Genomic DNA, 20,607 nt, shown 5'->3' with positions numbered 1-20,607 from the left:
GAAGCATTCCCTTTGAAAACTGGCACAAGACAGGGATGCCCTCTCTCACCACTCCTATTCAACATAGTGTTGGAAGTTCTGGCCAGGGCCATTAGGCAGGAGAAGGAAATAAAGGGTATTCAATTAGGAAAAGAGGAAGTCAAATTGTCCCTGTTTGCAGATGACATGATTGTGTATCTAGAAAACCCCATTGTCTCAGCCCAAAATCTCTTTAAGCTGATAAGCAACTTCAGCAAAGTTTCAGGATACAAAATCAATGTACAAAAATCCCAAGCATTCTTATACACCAACAACAGACAAACAGAGCCAAATCATGAGTGAACTCCCATTCACAATTGCTTCAAAGAGAGTAAAATACCTAGGAATCCAACTTACAAGGGATGTGAAGGACCTCTTCAAGGAGAACTACAAACCACTGCTCAAGGAAATAAAAGAGGATACAAACAAATGGAAGAACATTCCATGCTCATGGGTAGGAAGAATCAATATTGTGAAAATGGCCATACTGCCCAAGGTAATTTACAGATTCAGTGCCATCCCCATCAAGCTACCAATGGCTTTCTTCACAGAATTGGAAAAAACTACTTTAAAGTTCATATAGAACCAAAAAAGAGCCCACATCGCCAAGTCAATCCTAAGCCAAAAGAACAAAGCTGGAGGCATCACACTACCTGACTTCAAACTATACTACAAGGCTACAGTAACCAAAACAGCATGGTACTGGTACCAAAACAGAGATATAGAACAATGGAACAGAACAGAGCCCTCAGAAATAACGCCACATATCTACAACTATCTGATCTTTGATAAACCTGAGAAAAACAAGCAATGGGGAAAGGATTCCCTATTTAATAAATGGTGCTGGGAAAATTGGCCAGCCATATGTAGAAAGCTGAAACTGGATCCCTTCCTTACACCTTATACAAAAATCAATTCAAGATGGATTAAAGACTTAAATGTTAGACCTAAAACGATAAAAACCCTAGAAGAAAACCTAGGCATTACCATTCAGGACATAGGCATGGGCAAGGACTTCATGGCTAAAACACCAAAAGCAATGGCAACAAAAGCCAAAATTGACAAATGGGATCTAATTAAACTAAAGAGCTTCTGCACAGCAAAAGAAACTACCATTAGAGTGAACAGGCAACCTACAAAATGGGAGAAAATTTGCGCAACCTACTCATCTGACAAAGGGCTAATATCCAGAATCTACAATGAACTCAAACAAATTTACAAGAAAAAAACAAACAACCCCATCAAAAAGGGGGCGAAGGACATGAACAGACAGTTCTCAAAAGAAGACATTTATGCAGCCAAAAGACACATGAAAAAATGCTCATCATCACTGGCCATCAGAGAAATGCAAATCAAAACCACAATGAGATACCATCTCACACCAGTTAGAATGGCCATCATTAAAAAGTCAGGAAACAACAGGTGCTGGAGAGGATGTGGAGAAATAGGAACACTTTTACACTGTTGGTGGGACTGTAAACTAGTTCAACCATTGTGGAAGTCAGTGTGGCGATTCCTCAGGGATCTAGAACTAGAAATACCATTTGACCCAGCCATCCCATTACTGGGTGTATACCCAAAGGACTATAAATCATGCTGCTATAAAGACACATGCACACGTATGTTTATTGCGGCATTATTCACAATAGCAAAGACATGGAACCAACCCAAATGTCCAACAATGATAGACTGGACTAAGAAAATGTGGCACATATACACCATGGAATACTATGCAGCCATAAAAAATGATGAGTTCATGTCCTTTGTAGGGACATGGATGAAATTGGAAATCATCAGTCTCAGTAAACTATTGCAAGAACAAAAAACCAAACACCGCATATTCTCACTCATAGGTGGGAACTGAAAAATGAGATCACATGGACACAGGAAGGGGAACATCACACTCTGGGGACTGTTGTGGGGTGGGGGGAGGGGAGAGGGATAGCATTGGGAGATATACCTAATGCTAGATGACAAGTTAGTGGGTGCAGTGCGCCAGCATGGCACATGTATACATATGTAACTAACCTGCACAGTGTACACATGTACCCTAAAACTTAAAGTATAATAATAAAAGAAAAAAAAAACATGAATTTATTCTTACCAAAGTCCTGGATGCCAAAGGTCCAAAATCAATATCATTGGGTCAAATCAAGGTGTTAAGGCTGGGCTCCCCCTGGAGACTCTAGGGAAGAATCCCTTCCTTGCCTTTGCAACTTCTAGGGACTGTCTTGGCTTGTGATCACATCATCACTCTAATTTTCCAGGCCAGCATTTTCATATCTCTTGTTGTTCTTTCTTCGTGTGGCCTTCTCTCTATCAAAATTTCCCTGCTTCTCTCTTATAAGCATAGTTCTGATTGCATTTAGAACCCACCCAGATAATCCAGGTTAGTCTCCTCATTTCAAGATCTTTAACTGAATCACATCTGCAAATACAGTTTTCTCTAAAAAGGTAACATTTACATAATTCAGGGGTTAGAGCCTGGATATTTTTGGGGGCCGTTATTCTGCCTACTACAGGTAGCAATGCACATTTTGTGTAAAATTGCATGTACTTCCCTCCTATCCCCTTCCCCAAATGTTCAATATAGGAGGAAGAGGTAATGGCTCAATTCCTAGGAAATGTCCTGGTATTATGGCATCCTGGGCCCCAGGTGGGAAGCTTGTGATTGTGGCATTTCTCCCTGAGAAGTGGAACAATTTAATTCCAATCAGTCAAACAACAAGCATCTTGTGTGTCTTCCACGTCTATGACTGATATGGTTTAGATGTTTCATCCCTTCCAAATCCTATGTTGAAGTGTGACCTCTAATGTTGGAGATGGGGCTAGTGGGAGGTGTTTGGGTCATGGGGGCAGATACCTCATGAATGGCTTGTTGCTGCTGGTACTCACAGTAATGAGTGAGTTCTCACTCAGTGAGTTCACATGAGATCCAGTTGCTTAAAGGAGTCTGGCATCTCCTCCCTATTTCTCTTGCTCCCTCTCTCACCATGTGATGCACTGGCTCCTCTTTGCTTTCTGCCATGATTGTCAGCTTCTTGAGGTCTCACCAGAAACCAAACAGATGTATGTGCCAAACTTGTACAACTTGCAGAAATGTAAGCCAAATAAACCTGTTTTCTGTATAAACTACCAGCCTCAGGTATTCCTTTATAGCAATGCAAATGGACTAACAGTGACATTCAGTTGGATGTGTGCTAGAGATATAAGGATTGTATTAGTCCATTTTCATGCTGCTGATTAAGACATACCTGAGACCAGGGTGCAGTTTACAAAAGAAAGAGATTTATTGGACTTACAGTTCTGTGTGGCTGGGGAGACCTCACAATCATGGCGGAAGGTGAAAGGCACATCTCACATCGCAGCAGACAAGAGAAGAAGAGGGCTTGTGCAGGAAAACTCCCTGTTATCATAACCATCAGATTTCATGAGACTTACTATCATAAGAACAGCATGGGAAACACCTACCCCCGTGATTCAATTACCTCCTACCAGGTCCCTCCCAAAACACGTGGGAATTCAAAATGAGATTTGGGCGGAGACACAGCCAAACCATTATCATTCTGCCCCCGGCCCCTCCCAAATCTCATGTCCTCACATTTCAAAACCAATCATGCCTTCCCAATAGTCCCCCAGAGTCTTAACTAATTTCAGCATTAATTCAAAAGTCCACAGTCCAAAGTCTCATCCAAGACAAGGCAAATCCCTTCTGCCTATGAGCCTGTAAAATCAAAAGCAAGTTAGTTACTTCCTATATACAATGGGGGTACAGGTATTGGATAAATACAGTCATTTCAAATGGGAGACATTGGCCAAAACAAAGGGGCTACAGGCCCCACGCAAATCTGAAATCCAGCAGAGTGGTCAAATCTTAAAGCTCCAAGATGATCTCCTTTGACTCCATGTCTCACATCCAGGTCACGCTGATGCAAGAGGTGGGTTCCTATGGTCTTGGGCAACTCTGCCCCTGTGGCTTTGCAGGGTAGGCCCCCCTCCCGGCTGCTTTCACAGGCTGGTGTTGAGTATCTGCAGCAGCTTTTCCAGGCGCATGGTGCAAGCTGTCAGTGGATCTACCATTCTGAGGTCTGGAGGACAATGGCCCTCTTCTCACAGCTCCACTAGGTGGTGCCCCAGTAGGGACTCTATGTGGAGGCTCCAACCCAACATTTCCCTTCTGTACTGACCTAGCAGAGGTTCTCTATAAGGGCCCCACCCCTGCAGCAAACTTTTGCCTGGGTATCCAGGCTTTTACATACATCTTCGGAAATCTAGGCAGAGGTTCACAAACCTCAATTCTTGACTTCTGTGCACCCACAGGGTCAACACCATGTGGAAGCTGCCAAGACCTGGGGCTTCCACCCTCTGAAGCAACAGCTCGAGCTGTACCTTGGCCCCTTTTAATCACGGCTGGAGTGGCTGGGACACAGGCCACCAAATCCCTAGAGTACACACAACACAGGGGCCCTGGGTCTGGCCCAGGAAACCATTTTCTCTTAGGCTTCCAAGCCTATGATGGGAGGGGCTGCCGTTAAGACCTCTGCCATGCCCTGGAGACATTTTCCTCATTGTCTTGGGAATTAACGTTTGGCTCCTCGTTACTTATGAAAATTTCTGCAGCTGGCTTGAATTTCTCCTCAGAAAATGGGTTTTTCTTTTCTATCACATTGTCAGGCTGCAAATTTTCCAAACTTTTATGCTCTGCTTCTCTTATAAAACTGAATGCCTTTTAACCCAAGTCACTTCTTGAATGCTTTGCTGTTTAGAAATTTCTTCCAGCAGATACTCTAAATCATCTCTCTCAAGTTCAAAGTTCTACAAATCTCTAGGGCAGGGACAAAATACCACCACTCTCTTTGCTCCAAAGGTAACAAGAGTCACCTTTGCTTTCAGTTCCCAACAAGTTCCTCATCTCCATCTGAGACCACCTCAACCTGGACCTTATTGTCCATATTGCTATCTGGCTTTTGGTCAATGCCATTCAACAAGTCTCTAGGAAGTTCCAAAGTTTCCCACATTTTTCTGTCTTCTACTGAGCCCTCCAAACTGTTCCAGCCTCTGCCTATTACCCAGTTCCAAAGTTGCTTCCACATTTTCATGTATCTTTTTCAGTAGCGTCCCACTCTACTGGTACCAATTTACAGTATTAGTCTGTTTTCACACTACTGATACAGACATAACTGAGACGGGGCAATTTACAAAAGAAAGAGATTTATTGGACTTAACTGTTCCACGTGGCTGGAGAGAGCTCACAGTCATGGCAGAAGGTGAAAGGCATGTCCCACATCTCAGCAGACAAGAGAAGAGGGCTTGTGCAGGAAAACTCCCCCTTAAAATAAACATCAGATCTCATGAGACTTACCATCACAAGAATAGCATGGGAAAGACCTGCCCCTGTGATTCAATTACCTCCCACCAGGTCCCTCCCACAATACATGGGAATTCAAGATGAGATTTGGGTGGGGACACAGCCAAACCATATCAAGGATGAATGAAGCAGGGTGCCATCTTGAGAAAAAGTGGAAGAGAAAACACAGAGACACACATACAGTTACTATTCAACAAGTGCTTAATTAAAATCCCAGGATAACTTTGAAGTCTAACCGAGTAGGAATTGAATTGAAATACAGATCCTGGTCCCATTACAAATACCACCAAAATGTCCCATTCCTTCCAGGTGAGGCATGCAAGCACTGTTGACAACGCAGCTAAAGTTGCCTTCAGCAACCCTCAGCAGAAAATGCAGGTGACCGATCTTAGTTCCTCTTGGAAGTTTTGTTTTTGCTAAACTAGATTTCAAAATAGTGTTTGCACAGGACTGTGGAGACATGTCAATTTCTGGATTGCCAGGATATTTTTAGATAGATGCTGAGTTAGAGAAAAGAGTAGTAATTGATTTGGGGTGAATATTTATATCTTTTCAACACCTTATTTGTAACTTTCCATGCAATTTTTCTATTATCTATTTTCAAAGTGAACTTAGAATTAGTTTTAAAAGTTATTGATGCATACTAAAACCATAACAGCATAGGTTCTACAGATTTAATAAAACTTCCAAAAATAATGACTATTAAATTGCAAATATAAGTGCATACTCCTAAATAAGCCCCTAATGGTATTCACTGTGGAAGAGATTTTTGTATTAGATAAGTGTATTTTGGTCATACTCACAGAATTTTAGTTTCTGAACATAACTTATTATGAGACATTTTCTTCTATTACATAAAATTTTCAACAATCCATCCCTGCATCTCTTCACAGAATTTCACTCAAGTACTACTGCCTTAAAAAAGTGATATTTCACATTACATTGCCTCTTCTCACCTCTTCAACAGCTTTCTCTGATGGATGAGAATACAGTAGCACTTTTCAACATGAGAAGCCTGCCTTATATAAATCTTCAGTTCACTATTAAACAACTATCAATGGATTAAGAATATTTTTTCAATTTGGAGCTTTGCCAACAAAAAACAGTCACATTGTAAAATATTTAGAGGCTTATTCTCAGCCAAATGTGAATGATCAAGTCCTGAAGCACAGCCTCAATAAGTCCTGAGAACATATACCCCAGGTGGTTGGCTTACAGCTTGATTTTATACATTTTAGGGAGACAGAAGTTACAGGCAGAGACATAAGCCAATACGTGTAAGGTGTACATTGATTCCTGTTAGAAAAGCAGAATATGGAGAAGTGAAGTCTTCCAGATCTTGGGTGGTTTAAATATTTCACGATTGATAATTGGTTGAAACTTCTGCCTGAAGTGTTGAAGTCAGCAGAAAGAAACGTTTGTAGTTAAGATAAGGGGAGACTGTGGAAGCCAAGGTTCTTGTTAGGTAGGTGAAGCCTCCAGGTAGCAGGCTTCAGAGAGAATAGATGGTAAATGTCTCTTATCGGACTCTAAAATGTGCTAGATATAAGAGTCTAATCTCAATCTTTCTCTAATCTTAATCTTTAATCTAATTTTAATCTTTAAGAATTAACTCTCTCCTGGATCAGGAAAGGACCTGGGAAGGAAAGAGCCTTCTGTACAGAATGTAGATTTTCTCCGTCAGACAACTTTACAGGGCCATTTCAAAATATGTCCAAAAAATATAGTTTGGGGAAAAATACTTCAATTTTTTTCAGAGCCTACTGTCTGTCATGTGATGCTATACCAGAGTCAGGTTCGAATCTGGTATCTTATTTGCTAGAGAGTCTGTTTTGTCAATCTTAAGATCTCTATTTTAATGTTAATGTTGGTAAGTTATGCCTGAATCCCAAAGGGAGGAGGGTATAATGAGGCAGGTCTGATTCCCCTTTCCATTGCCACCTGAACTAGTTTTTCGGTTTACTTTGGAATGCCCTTGGCCAAGAAGAGGCATCCGTTCAGTCAACTGGGGGCCTTAGAATTTTATTTTTGGCTTGCAGCTTGATACAACTGACTGGTGTTCGTGTATTGAAGGTGAAGATGTAGAAGGACTATTTGCCCTGGTCTCCTGGGAATAGATATTTATGCAACCAGTCACAGAGGTAAGACTAAAAGCAGCAGATGTCTGTCATACAATTTTAAACTTGTGTCTTGCTAAGAAAAATTTAGAAACAAGGCAAAGCATGATTGTATGTTCTTTAATACCATGCATTGCTCAACAGGTCTGATGAAGGGTCATCAGACTCTCTAGGGAAAGGTAACTGAGTTCGCACAATTGATTGGGGTCCAGATATTTACAATTCTGAGAAACCAATAAGGTGTGATAAATTTCTTTTCTGGCTCTAAGATAAGATAAGCCACAGATTATGTTTCATTACTCTGTGGCATATTCATCATTTAATATCTAATTTAGTAATCATACTTTAGCATTCCTGAATTGCCCATTTGCTGTAAGAATCTCAATTTTTCATAGCCTCCTTTTTAACTGGTGTCATTTTTCCTGCATTAATCAAATGAAACTTTGGCACACGTTTCCTATATGTCGTGTGGAGTTGGTGTTAATATGCTTTAAAATTATATTTGTCTACCTGTTTCCAGACCACACTGCCTATATTGAACTATACCTAAAAATATTCATAAATCTCTTAATACCATCGTGAATGGCTCATATGGCATTGTGTTTGTTAACAGCATTAAGTTCTTCATTGAAAATATTTAAAATATGGCACAATTTTTATATCTCTGTTTTAGCATTTCTTTATTTTTAACATATCAGGAATGACTCAAAAAATGAAAGAGGCACTGGTTTCTCTTACCTTCTGAGAGACCCTGGTTCATCATCACCTTCTGTCATGTGCCAGTAGACTTGAGAAAGTCTCTTCTGGTTGCTAAACTATCAATGGGATTTTAAAGCCTTATTGGGCATTGAGAAACATTAACATTCAGCCCCCTTTTCTTTCCTGAAATAAGATCTTAGGAATGTCCCAAGGGGAAAGAAACCTTTCCCTTTGATTTTGTTTTTTATGTCTCTCTTAGAGGCTGAGTACTATTAACACCTGACATCAAAGTCACAGGCCAAAAGCATGACCTTCCTCAAAGGAATTCTGAAGAAAATCACCTTTCAAAAGTGGCCAGTTATGGCCATGGAATTTGGGGAATCTAAAGGTGGAGATTAGAGTCTGGAGCTCTGCCTTCTAGGGCTGCTGATCACCTCACTGAGATTTGTGCAGGGTACTTCTGCTGGGAAGAACCACTACAGCAGCCTTGAACAATGACACGTTCAGCCATCCAAAGCTGAACTCATGATGCTTTCTTTATTGTCTTTCACCTCACTCAGTGGCACCTATTTTCTCATGATAAACCTCAGAGTCAATTTTAAAATACTGTTTTCTTCTGACTCAGCCTGGTCAAGCCCCAGGAATTCTACAACCTAAATATCTCTTGAATTCATTCATGCCTCCCCACATCCACTGCCACCAGCAAATGTAAGACAACATTATTTCTCTCCTGAAAGACTGCCATAGTTTTCTAACTGACCTACCTTTTACCTTCCTCCAATTTTGGTAAACGTAAATTGATAACCTTTCATGTGCTCACTGATCCCTCATAGTGAAGCCCTGTGTGACACGGCCTGTAAGGCCTCAGATGACTTATGCCCGTGTATCTCTCCAAGCTCATCCCCCCATTCTTCTCTCCAGCTCCATTAAGATACCTTAAGTTCCTTGACTATGCCAGGTCTTTTGCTACCCCAGGGCCTTTTTTTTTTTTTTTTTTTTTTTTGTTGAGGCAGAATTTCGCTCTTGTTGCCCCCCGAGGCTGGAGTGCAATGGTGAGATCTCGACTCACCGCAACCTCCACCTCCCGGGTTCAAGTGATTCTCCTGCCTCAGCCTCCTGAGTAGCTGGGATTACAGGCATGCATCACCATGCTTTGCTAATTTTTTGTATTTTTAGCATAGATGGGGTTTCTCCATGTTCTTTAGGCTGGTCTCAAGCTCCCTACCTGAGATGATCCGCCCACCTTGGCCTCCCAAAGTGCTGGGATTACAGGCGTGAGCCACCGCATCCAGCCCGCAGGGCTTTTAGCCTGCTCTTCCCTCTGCTAAGAACACTCTTTTCTCCTTGCCCCCTTAGGGATGACTTCTCTGAACCCCTCGGCTGGGTCAGAACCCCTCGTTACAAGTTCTCATCTCACTCCACATTTGTCTATCAAACCATTTACCACAATTGGCATGGTAGCAGGATCTCAGTGTTTGAATATTCAGTGTATCATTGATATGTGGAAATATATTGCTTTTCTTCTTTTTTTCTGCGTTTGCTACAAAAAGAGTCATTTTTTCCATTTGGCGTGCAAAAATGACTCTTCTCGGATCACAGTGAAATTGTTCCTCCCTCCCTCCACTCTTTCCACCTCATGCAGGCCAGGCAATTCTAATGACCAAGGGCATCCTACTCTTGAGAGAAGAGAAACATTTTCTGTTGGAAATGATTTAGGAGAAGTTCTGATAGGGGATCAAATTTTTCCTGATGGAAGAGGTTCCATTGGAGCATTCATTAATGTTGAGGTAAAACATTAATAGCCCAAGGGTAGGAACTTGGGACACCTGGAGGCAGGATCAAGTTGCTAATAAGGAGAAGCTTCTGAGAGGCACTGGGCTAAGCCCAATTAGTTGACTGTGAGAATATCTGCTGCCAGGATGTGTCTGACATGTGGACTGAGAAAAGAGCCATAGAGAGAGTGGCAAGCCCAGTAGGCTGCCTTCCTGCAGGTGGCATTTCCAGGTCACCTGCACCCAGGCTACTCTCTCCAACCCCCATGTAAGGAGAGCTTCAGGGCATTTCTAAACCCCAGGGGATCTCTAGAACCCTATGAAAGACTAAGGAGGAATGAGACTTCTTTAGAGCCTGACTGGGTGCTCAAGAGCACTCCAGGCTGACCCGGAGCAGAAACTGTTGTATAATTTATTAATGATTTGTTTGCTATCTGGGCGTCTTCCACTTCACTCAGCAGAATGTAACTTCCAAGAGAGTGGGAAGGTATCTGTCCTGATCACCACTGTACAACACACCTGATGCAGCAGTTGGCTCACAACTCTCGTTGAATATCTCCATGGGCCTCAATTCAGCACCTAGAAAATGGGGAGATTGGGTCCTGTTACTGGTTCTTGTGATGATTTGAGCCTCAGAAGTGCATCTAATTTAAAAAGAATCTGACTTAGCGTCCCAATATGAATATCAATTAAAAATGAGTTTGCTCTGACTGAGTCAGCAACGGGGATTCATCCCTCAACACCTCAGTCGACCCTAAACCTACTGTTATGTGACCTAGCTGAAATTTTACTCCACCTTAATTCTGCTTATCTTTAAGAAACAGGATGCTTGCAATTAGAAGTTTCCCCTGGCGACCAAATTGGCTGAAACTGGAAGGATCCAAGACGGCAGCTCACTTGACCTCTGCAGAACCTCTAACTTCATTATAATCTAATTTCCATGCTAAATGACCTTCCCTCCAGCCCATGACTATTGACAATCACCATGACAATGACTGGAAGAAACCATAAAAGGACAAAAAGGAAGGCAGCACTCTGGTCCTGAGAAATTGTCTGCCTATTTCTGGAAAAGACATGAATATTCCTATCCTTGCTTTTAATACCCAACACCTACATTTAAGGTGCCCCATATCTGTGGCTTCCTAGCTCTCATGAACTGAGAAGTTGATTTGTGAGCCACGCTCCTGCTTCTCAGTTCCACGGCCATCAAATGAAGCCTGCATTGCCTGACAATCACTTTTGGTTTCACATATTGGCTTCATGACACCAAACAAAGAAAGAACCCATCTTTTGGAGGACTGGCTTTGTCAGTAACACTATCTCTTCCTTCCTCAAGGCATCCCCTCCTGGGCCCCTTGGAACATCACCCAACAACCCTGGGACTGAATCATCTCTTAATGAGCCTGTTTTAAGTCACATAAAGCTTTCTAGTTGATACAGGACAGGTGAGCCCCAAAACCGGAGCTTAGCCCAGGAGAGTTCTTGGCTTTTCCCAGGAAAGAATTCAAGGGCAAGCTGGTGGTGCTGGGCAACTTTTATTAAAGTGGCAGTGTACAGCAGCAGCAGAGGTACTGCTCCTAGTGAAGCAGGGCTACCTACAGGTAGTGCACCCAGAGCAGCAGCTCAGAGGCAGTTGTTTAGTCATATTTATGCAAATTAAGGGGCAGATTATGTGGACATTTCTAGAAAAAGGATGGTAACTTTCAGATTGTCAAGTCATTGGCTTGGAAAGGGACAGTAACTTCTAGGTGTTGCCATGGCAATGGGAAACTGACATGCACACTAGTGGGCATGTCTTGTGGAGAGGTTACCTCTTCCCTGTTTTAGCTAGTCCTCAATCTGGTCCAGTGTCCAAGCCCTGCCTCTGGAGTTGAGTCCTGCCTCCTACCTCCCAGTTACAACATGCTTTCCAGTGTCCTATTCTTACTACAGTGGTGACCATCCTGTTTGAAGACTCTCTGAAGTTAGTGTGCCAGGAAAGTGAGCTAAGACAATGGCAAGCCATAATAGTCTTAAGGATGATGTCTGAGGCAGGAATTCTTGGCCCCAAACACAGATTCGTTAGCACACTGTGATGCACTAATTCTGGTATTCCAACAAAATAGAGAAAGGTAACCCCTGGCTATGGGCTGTCTCACACTCTCAAGGTGGTCAGAAAAGTTCAACTTAGCCAGTTCCTACTTTGGACAGAGAGGCCTGCCTGGCTTTTTGGATTAGCTATGGTATTAGACATCCTGGCCTCATCTTAAATTTCCTGCCCTCTCGAGAATGAATGTGGGAACTCCTTTCTGCAGAGTCTGGGCTCCATATGCATCCTCCTCCCACTGCATTCATCAAACCCACTATCTGCCATAAGTGTACGGACCCCAGTCAAATCTTGCACTTCACCAAGACCTGTCACTACTCTGCTCTCCTCCTCTTTTACTTACTCTTAATCACTCGTCTTCAGACTAAAGGGAGAGTCTCAGCTAAGTAAAGATGACATTGTTCATAATACATTTCCCAACATGCTGGGACCAGATTTTTAGCATAATGCCAGCCCCTTATGACAGACATGCATATTAACTAAGCCCATGATCTGTAAGAAATTAAAGGGGATTAGAGCTAATCACTTGTTGCAGGAGAGTAAGTTTTATATTGAAAATATGACCCATGGCCAGCATCTCACCCTAATATAGCTGATATAGAGCAAAACCTGGATTCTGTGCTTCTAAAATTCATGAATGCTTAGAAAGAGGCCAAAATTCTCCAGACTGTAAGAGAAACCTGCCTCTGCGTCTTCATAGGTAAAGATCACTGTGGTTATGCTTTTAGGTCTTGATCAAATATTTGTAGAGCCCTGTAAATATGTGCTTTTTTATTGAAAAACAATTATGTTGCTCTATAGCTGCACTCTGAAAATATTTCTGTCTGACAATAGATGTACTTTGATTTATCTTCATAAGAACAACTTTTACAGATCCTAATTGTTCTGATTGAAAACTACGACTTCCAAATTCTTTTAGGAAGAGGAATACTTTTTCAATCAACCCCCCAAAGCTGTTTCCTGACTTATTCCCCTACCCTGTCTTTCCCACTTGTGCTTTTTTCCAATGAGCAAGATTTAATCACGCCATTATACTATACACTAATGAGGAAATTGAGGCTCATGGCTGGTAGGTGGCAAAGCCAGCAATTGAAGTCACATCTGCCAATTTCCAAAGGATGTGTTTTTTGCTATCTTTTGGAATGAATCATCTATAAAATGCTTCCCCTGTCAAGGTTCTGTTTTCATTTTTTTTCATTACTTTTAATTCAGCCCATTTACCTACTTTCCAACCCCCTCCCCACACCACCTTCACATTAAGCCACCTTTTTTTTCCTTCTGTTCCTATTTTGAAAAGGCAGACAAAGCTATAGAAAAAGAAAAATTGATTAAAGAGAGGATTGGAATGTAAACATAATTGTCTTTATTCTCCATCAATTGCCCTGGATATTAGAAGATCCCATGAGCTTTCCAAACAACTACCCTAGCCTAAATTGTTAGTCATAAAACAATTTCCTGATTTCCTGAGGGACCATTACTTTTTGTGAAGCTAATATTCCACATTAGGATTCTTTTACTATGAAATCTCATTAAATTTGGCTCAAATAATTGGGAAAGTGCAAAAATGTCTCTGCATTGGAAGAAATGATTTTTTACAGCATCTATGAAGAAACTAACATGCTAAGCAAGTAATAGTGTAAACAAGGGACATGTTTGACCTACTTTAAGCAACAAATATTTAAAGAACTGTGGTATATGAACAATTTATGTGTTAACGCAGTGCTTCCCAAACATCTGTCATTCATATAACATGCTTGGAGTTTCACATATCTTGAATCACATGTACTGCTTCAGGAATACTTTGCTTTATATCTACTCTCATTTTTCCATAAATAAATATATTTCCAGAGGAAACTTTATGTCACATAGGTAAATGAAAATAAGAGTCAGTTCATAAATAAAAGCTATCAGTAAACATTAATTCAAATGAAACAGTACAAGTTATTAATTTCTGGCTAGATGTTGTCTATTGATGGCTCCAGGCTGAAGAATTATCTTCTCTTTCTTTACATATTTTTAAGGGTGATTGGCAAAGGTTAGCAAAGTGTGAATCAATAGCTGTGCATTGAGCCTTCCTCCTTAGGGAATCAAAATGTATGAAGGGAATTAAAAATGTGATTTTTTTGCTATGCAATTTAATAGTATTTAATACATCATGCCCTTAAAACCCCAAATAATCTTTCATGTCACTAGCTCTTTGTTTTCCTCACCCCCAGAATCCAGTGAATTTCATTCATTGGCTCACTCATTTATTCACTCACATTTTCTCTATAGGCAGGACCATCAGATCTCCTTGTAGATATTTTATTTCTGGTAAATTTCAGAACTTAAATGTCACAAGATTTCATTCCTTTAAAATACTCCATAATTCAGATCCTTAATACTTTGCAGTGACCCTCCGAGATGTCTCTTCCCCTTCAAATCAGCCATATTAATTCCATGTTTCAGTGCAAACAATGAAAGTTAAAGAAGTTTGGACGTCTTTCCTGACAATTCATCATGCAGTTGCCCTGTGCTGCATTCAATAAACAAATCCTCATTCACTGGGTTAATTGCAACAATAACTAGAATTTCTACAGGAATATTCTCCTTCTGGAAGGACCTTGTTATTCATTTTAGAGGTGCCTGGGACCCCTCCCTCCTATTAGTGACATCTGATTTCCTTCACACCAACATAAGGCAAGTGATGAAAGTGACAAGAACTGGTTACTGGGCAGATTCTTTAGGGCAACATGGAGAGCAAGGTGTATGGGTAGAATCCCATTTTTACAAGGTAAAAGCTAAAACGGGTCTGCATGTAAGCATGAAATAGGGTAAATGTTTTATTATTATTATTATTATTATTATTTTAATAATAATAATAGAGAAGGACAGGGTTTTGCTCTGTTGCCCAGGCTAGAGTGCAGTAGTACAATCATAGCTCCTTACTGCAACCTCGAACTTCTGGACTCAAGTGATCCTCTTGCCTCAGCCTCCCAAGTAGCTAGAACTACAGGCATGCACCACTGTGCTCAATTCATTTTTTGATTTTTTTTTTTTTAAAGAGACAACGGTCTCACTAATGTTGCCCAGGCTGGTCTTGAACTCCTGGTCTTACTTGATCCCTCTGCTTTTGGCTTCCCAAAGTGCTGAGATTACAGGCATGAGCCACCATATCTGGCCAAGGGTGAACTTTTAAGTATTGTTACTGAGGTATGCATAATTCCTGTAAGCAATTGAACAATTCAATACTTCTGAATCCTCAAACCTCCAGAGAGCAAGGAACTTAAACTTGCCAATTAATGGATTTTTCGATACCTCAGTTGCTTCCTGTGAATGAGGCACTTGCCCTCCCAAGTTTAGCACAGTCTCTTTGGGGTCGCCAAACTGTGAATTTAAAATTTAACTTTCCTCCTCCTCATCCTCTTCCTAAGGTGATGTCTGGCAAGGCTCTCACCTAGAATCAAGGCAAGTTTATGCCTCTAGCAAACAGGAGACTAGTCATGTTCAAGGCAATGCAAGAACTCCTCCCTCCCTTCGTTCCCTCCTTCCTTCCTTCTTTCCTCTCCCCCTCCTTCCTTCCCCTGCCCCTTTCTTTTTTTCCAGTGCTGCTGTTTGGTCTTTGGTGTTTTTCTTATTTGTGATGGACCATTTTTCTTAGGTTCTGTGTTTTCTGCCAGCAAGGCCCAGGCCAACTTTTATGATTTATGTTGTGTCTTCTTTATTGCTGTTAAAAAGCAAATGAAGTAAATGTGATTATGTTCAGAAAACCAAAGAATCACCACCACTGACTCATTTTTGTGAGTTCTGCAATCTTATATTTTAACCTCTTGGAAGAAAAATTCAAAACTAAAAGGTAGAACCCAGAATACCCAGTTGCCTCTCGCCTGTCCTTCAGCATGTTCAGCCATTCTGACAGCGAGAAAGAAACCAGGGCACATCTGTCAGGACCCATGTTTAGAATACAGGTATATTTCAATAAAATTTAAGTATGTTTGAAACATGTAAACTGTATATATCTAAGGTATATTTAATAATGAAGAAATAGGAAAAAACGGGATTATAAAAATGGAAGTGTATTTTACATATTTAATTCATAAATAGAAGTTATAATGTGATCAGGCAATTATGCTATTCAGAAAAACTTTTAATAATTTATCGAAAGTATTGATTTATCACAGAAAGAAATATGAAGTCTGAGAACAAAATTTAAGATCAGAGTTGTATGATGAGTGTCTCCTTTCAATCTCCCTTGTGCTTCTTTGGGACTCTGTATAACTTTGTCCAGGGATGACATCGAAATGATGGTTGAGGCCTCTGGTGGACGTGAAGTTCCATCCAATGGCCATCATCTAGGCCTTGCTCCAGGTAAGCCTGGCCTTGCTCCACCACTGGGGTCAGAGTTGTGCATGTGGAAATGCAAAGAGAGCAGATCTGAATGCCTTTCCCTCATCTTGCTTTCCCTTCTTGGAAAGGCATTGATGTATCTCAACCATAAGTACTGCCCATGGCACCAGAGGTCCTGCCCTCCCATGCTGCCCACCTCCCTGTGCAACCTGGTGGGCTTCACTCAGATTCACAAGTTCTGCCTCATCCTCTCTTACAACATGACATGCTCTTCTCCTCAAAGATCTATACAAATGTTGAAAGGAAGCAAGACACATCAACGTATTGTAGCAAAGAAACAAGGTGCAACTAGCATGACCCCCAGCTTAAAAAGAACAAGAAGGGGGAAAGGTATGAATTCCACTTGAGGTTGAAAAATAATGCCAGAGCTCCCTCATCCATTGTTCCATCCACAGGCATATGGTGGCCCTTGAAGGTGTGGTCACATTTATGTGGCTTGGTAGACATGCTGTGGACTGAGAAGTAGACCCAGTAAATAGGCCCCACCTGTAAAATTTTCTTGAGCAAAATCCTAACAGAAATGAATCTTTTCTAGAAAAGTTTTCTGAAGAAACTCCAAGTGGGCATTGATCCACCTGGGAATACTTGTTAAAGGAGGAAATAGCAAAGTGACATAAAGGCTTTCAGAAAGACCACGTCGAAATGATGTAGAAATTTTTAGCAAGAGTATGAGGCGAAATAAGGGAAAATGGAGTCAGGTGACCCGGCCTTGGGCTGAATCCTCTTTGTGGTTAAGGGAGGATTAGGAGTATGGAGCCGGGTCAAGAAGGTGCCCTGAGCTGTGGAACAGTGTGGCCATGACAGAGCCACATCTATATACCTCATGGATTCGGGAAGTAGGTTCAGAAAGTCCCCTAGATAGAGGGAGGATTGACGCAATAGGGGATCTCCCAACTTTTTGTATCTCAAGCAGCCAAGTAACTGTCTCTCTAGAGTAAACATAGGACAGAAAAGTGTGCATTCAAAATGTTGGGTTAAAAAACCAGCAAGACCTTGTCACATACAAAAGGAGGAATAGCCACAAATAGCCCTGTGAACTTGTCATCAGTAACAAAGCAACTGAATTGACCTGATCTGCTTGAAACTTAGTGGGAGGAAGAATTTAAAAGTGTAGGGTGGAAATTCATTGTCGAGTATATATGAGTATTTAATAAGATAGGTAAAGTGGTATTGACATTTCTTTTACTTTGAGTGCCATTTTTTTCTTACATTTTGTACATGAGAGTTACACGTGGGGGCTTCATTTCTTTATTCACAAACTTTTTGCCACATGTTGCTATTTTCATGAACTCCTGAAACTGAAACCTTTAACTGTGAATTCTCCTACTTTGAGAGTTTTGAGGACATAAACTTAAAAGTCCCCAGAAGTCTGAATGTTTTGATGGTGAAACCCAGATTTAGCATTTTTGGTCCTAGTTTTCCAGAGATCAGGGGTAAAAATTTAAGCAAGTCCACATGATCTTTTCTAGGAATACCTCACAATCTTTCTAAGGCAAGAAAAGTGGAGGCTTTAGAGAAACTGCTTAAACAATGACTCAAAAACATTCTGTCTGCCTGGCTTCAGGGCATCCTTTCTCTGTGCCTCCTGTGTGGTTCACCTGTGATGCCTGAACCCTTCTGATGCCTCTGCTCACACCTATGTTCAGTTTCCTTCCTATAAGGAGGAAAAGGGAACTGGACCAAATGCAGTTTAAAAGAGCAGTGTGAAAACCTCTGGCCCAGGACCTGGAAAATCTGGATTCTAATCTCAGTTCTTTCACTATCTGACAGTGTAGCTTTAAGTGAATTATTCAGTCCTTTGGGCCTTGGGTTATCTATCTTTAGAATGGAGAGGTGGGCAAACTCTGTAGGATTCCTCTAACTCTTAGCAGAGGAGAAAGGATGAGAAGATTCTTTTCATACATGTATTTTTTATTTTTAATATATATTAAATAAAATCCACATAAATACCTTTGTGTTTCCCACCACCTTCCTAACACACCACATGTTACCAAGACTTCCCTCTGTTAGACTTCCCTGCATCTTCTTGCCTAATTACCCCCCTTCCTCATCTCAGAGGTAACCATGATTCTGAATATAGTGCTCATTCTTCCTTGCATTTTTCAGACTTCAATTATTTATGTTTGTATCCCTAAGCAATATATATGACTGTTATGCATGTTTTAAACTATATGTATACAACCATATGTATATTCTTTTATAAATGAATTTTTTGCCCAAAATTATTCACATGAGAATAATACATGCTGGCATCTAAAGTTCTTTTTTATTAATTTTCTTTTGTAAAATATCACATTGAGAATATTCAGAGTATGTATATTCTCCAGTTACTTCATATGTAGGTTGTTTTTTCAGTGTTTGCTACTACTAACACGAATATTTTTGTAAACGTAGCTTTATATACAAAGGTGTATTCTTTGTACATACTTTGTATAGTTTGTATATACTTTGTACATTCTTTGTATATTTCCCTAGAAATGGAAGTGCTGAGGCTCAAGGTGTACGCACATGTTCAACTTTGCTAGACTTGTTTTCCAAATTGTTCTACAAAGTGATTGTGTCCATTTATATTTCCACAAATGGAATAAGAATACATAAATCTAGAAACTGAGGCTCCACTATAGCTTCTCCTGATAGGTCAATGCAGTCCTTCTTTGACAGGAAATGGGGCACTTACCTAGTTCATAGAGTGACTGTGATGGGAAATTGGAAAGAATATGAATCATTTATCCCACATATATTTTTGAGCATCTACTCTATACCAGGCACTGAGGAAAGTGCTGAGGATCAACAAGAGTGCTGCCCTTATGGATCTAACTACTCATGTATTTATTAAGTGTCTCTGTTGTGCAGGGAATTTGTCACCATTATTCTCATTTAATGATCAGAATAGCCATTTGGAATTGCCAACCCCATTTTACAAAGGAGGAAACTGAGGCTCAGAGAGAGCACACAACTAGGTAAGAGTCAGGCAGGGGTAGGAACCCACTGTGACTGCAGATGTCCTGTCCGTTCCTCTACATGGTCCTTCCCCATGGTTTGTCTGAATGCCTCTGCACACACGGGCAGAGAAGGCCAGACTATGTGCTTGACTCACACTGGGATCCAGTGTGAATATGAAATGCAAAGCCATGTGCCTGTCCTTCTGATAGAAGCCTGGAAATCTCCAAGGAGGAAATTGTTCTTGAATGCTCTCATATCTGGAAGTGTTTTGAAACTCTTGGGAAGAGTTCGCATGTCTTCTCCCCTGCGTTATTTCTGTATCTTTCAGGAGAACTCATGTTTGATTATGGATTGGAAGGGATATCTGGGTTATGGTCTCTGAGAAACAATAAACACTCCTACCCCACAGAGATATGAAACTATGCAGGTGATGAATAATATCAGGTTGTAAAGAGCTGGAGTCTTGAGGATTATTTTTTTCCACAACATCTTGAAAGTATTTTCTCCATGTCAGCTACATATTCTAATCCTAAAAGAAGGATCTTGATACTTGGAATATACAATGTGCCTTTTTACCCCTCAGCAAGGTGTACAATTAATTCCTTATGTTCTCAACATGGTGGAGCAGAAAGTGTCTTTATGCTTCCAGAGCCTCCAGCCACACAATAAGCATGTTCATCTTTTCATTTTCAGAAGAGATCACTGCATACCCCTGCCTGCAGGAGAATGAGTAGCTGGGATTTCATTCAATTGTTTTCCCAAAGAGAGAGTAAGTGAAGTCAAACATCTGGTCGACCTTCAGCAGTCATTTACCATATGTATGAGTAAACTAAGGGCAAGTAAAGAGTTAGTCACAGAAATAAGAATGCTGGGGAAAGTTTAAGTGTTAAAAGGTTGAAATGTATAAAAAGAGTAAACAGAAAAAGGGACTATAACTTTACATACCTCACACTCTCCTCCCTCTGCCTGTGTTTCTGCCATCTGACCTGCTGTCCTGGCTCTAACTTCTGACTCATGGTGGCAGGTATTTTTCATATCTGCTCACCCGAGGAAAATAAACAAACAGGGAATCAAAGTCTTGGGGGCCTCCCTATCTTAAGAGCAAACCTCTGTCTCTCAGAGGCTGAGTGTCTGCCTCAAATCACAGAATTTTAGACAGATAATGAGAAAAACAAAAATCATAATGAAATTGGAGCAGGACACACAAAATAAACACAG

General features: G+C 40.9%; 1 annotated feature.

Annotated features, from left to right (window-relative positions):
• Nucleotides 17,305-17,354: an enhancer, noted in NCBI's record as "active region_28511". NCBI's record gives its function as "activates an Ori minimal core promoter by ATAC-STARR-seq in GM12878 lymphoblastoid cells {active_cell/tissue: GM12878}" and the evidence as "EXISTENCE:reporter gene assay evidence [ECO:0000049][PMID:35858748]".

This window comes from Homo sapiens, chromosome 9 (genome assembly GCF_000001405.40).
Source record: "Homo sapiens chromosome 9, GRCh38.p14 Primary Assembly".
Classification (NCBI taxonomy): Eukaryota; Metazoa; Chordata; class Mammalia; order Primates; family Hominidae; genus Homo; species Homo sapiens.
Note: the sequence above shows the minus strand (reverse complement) of the source record. Positions and strands in the feature narration are given on the sequence as shown.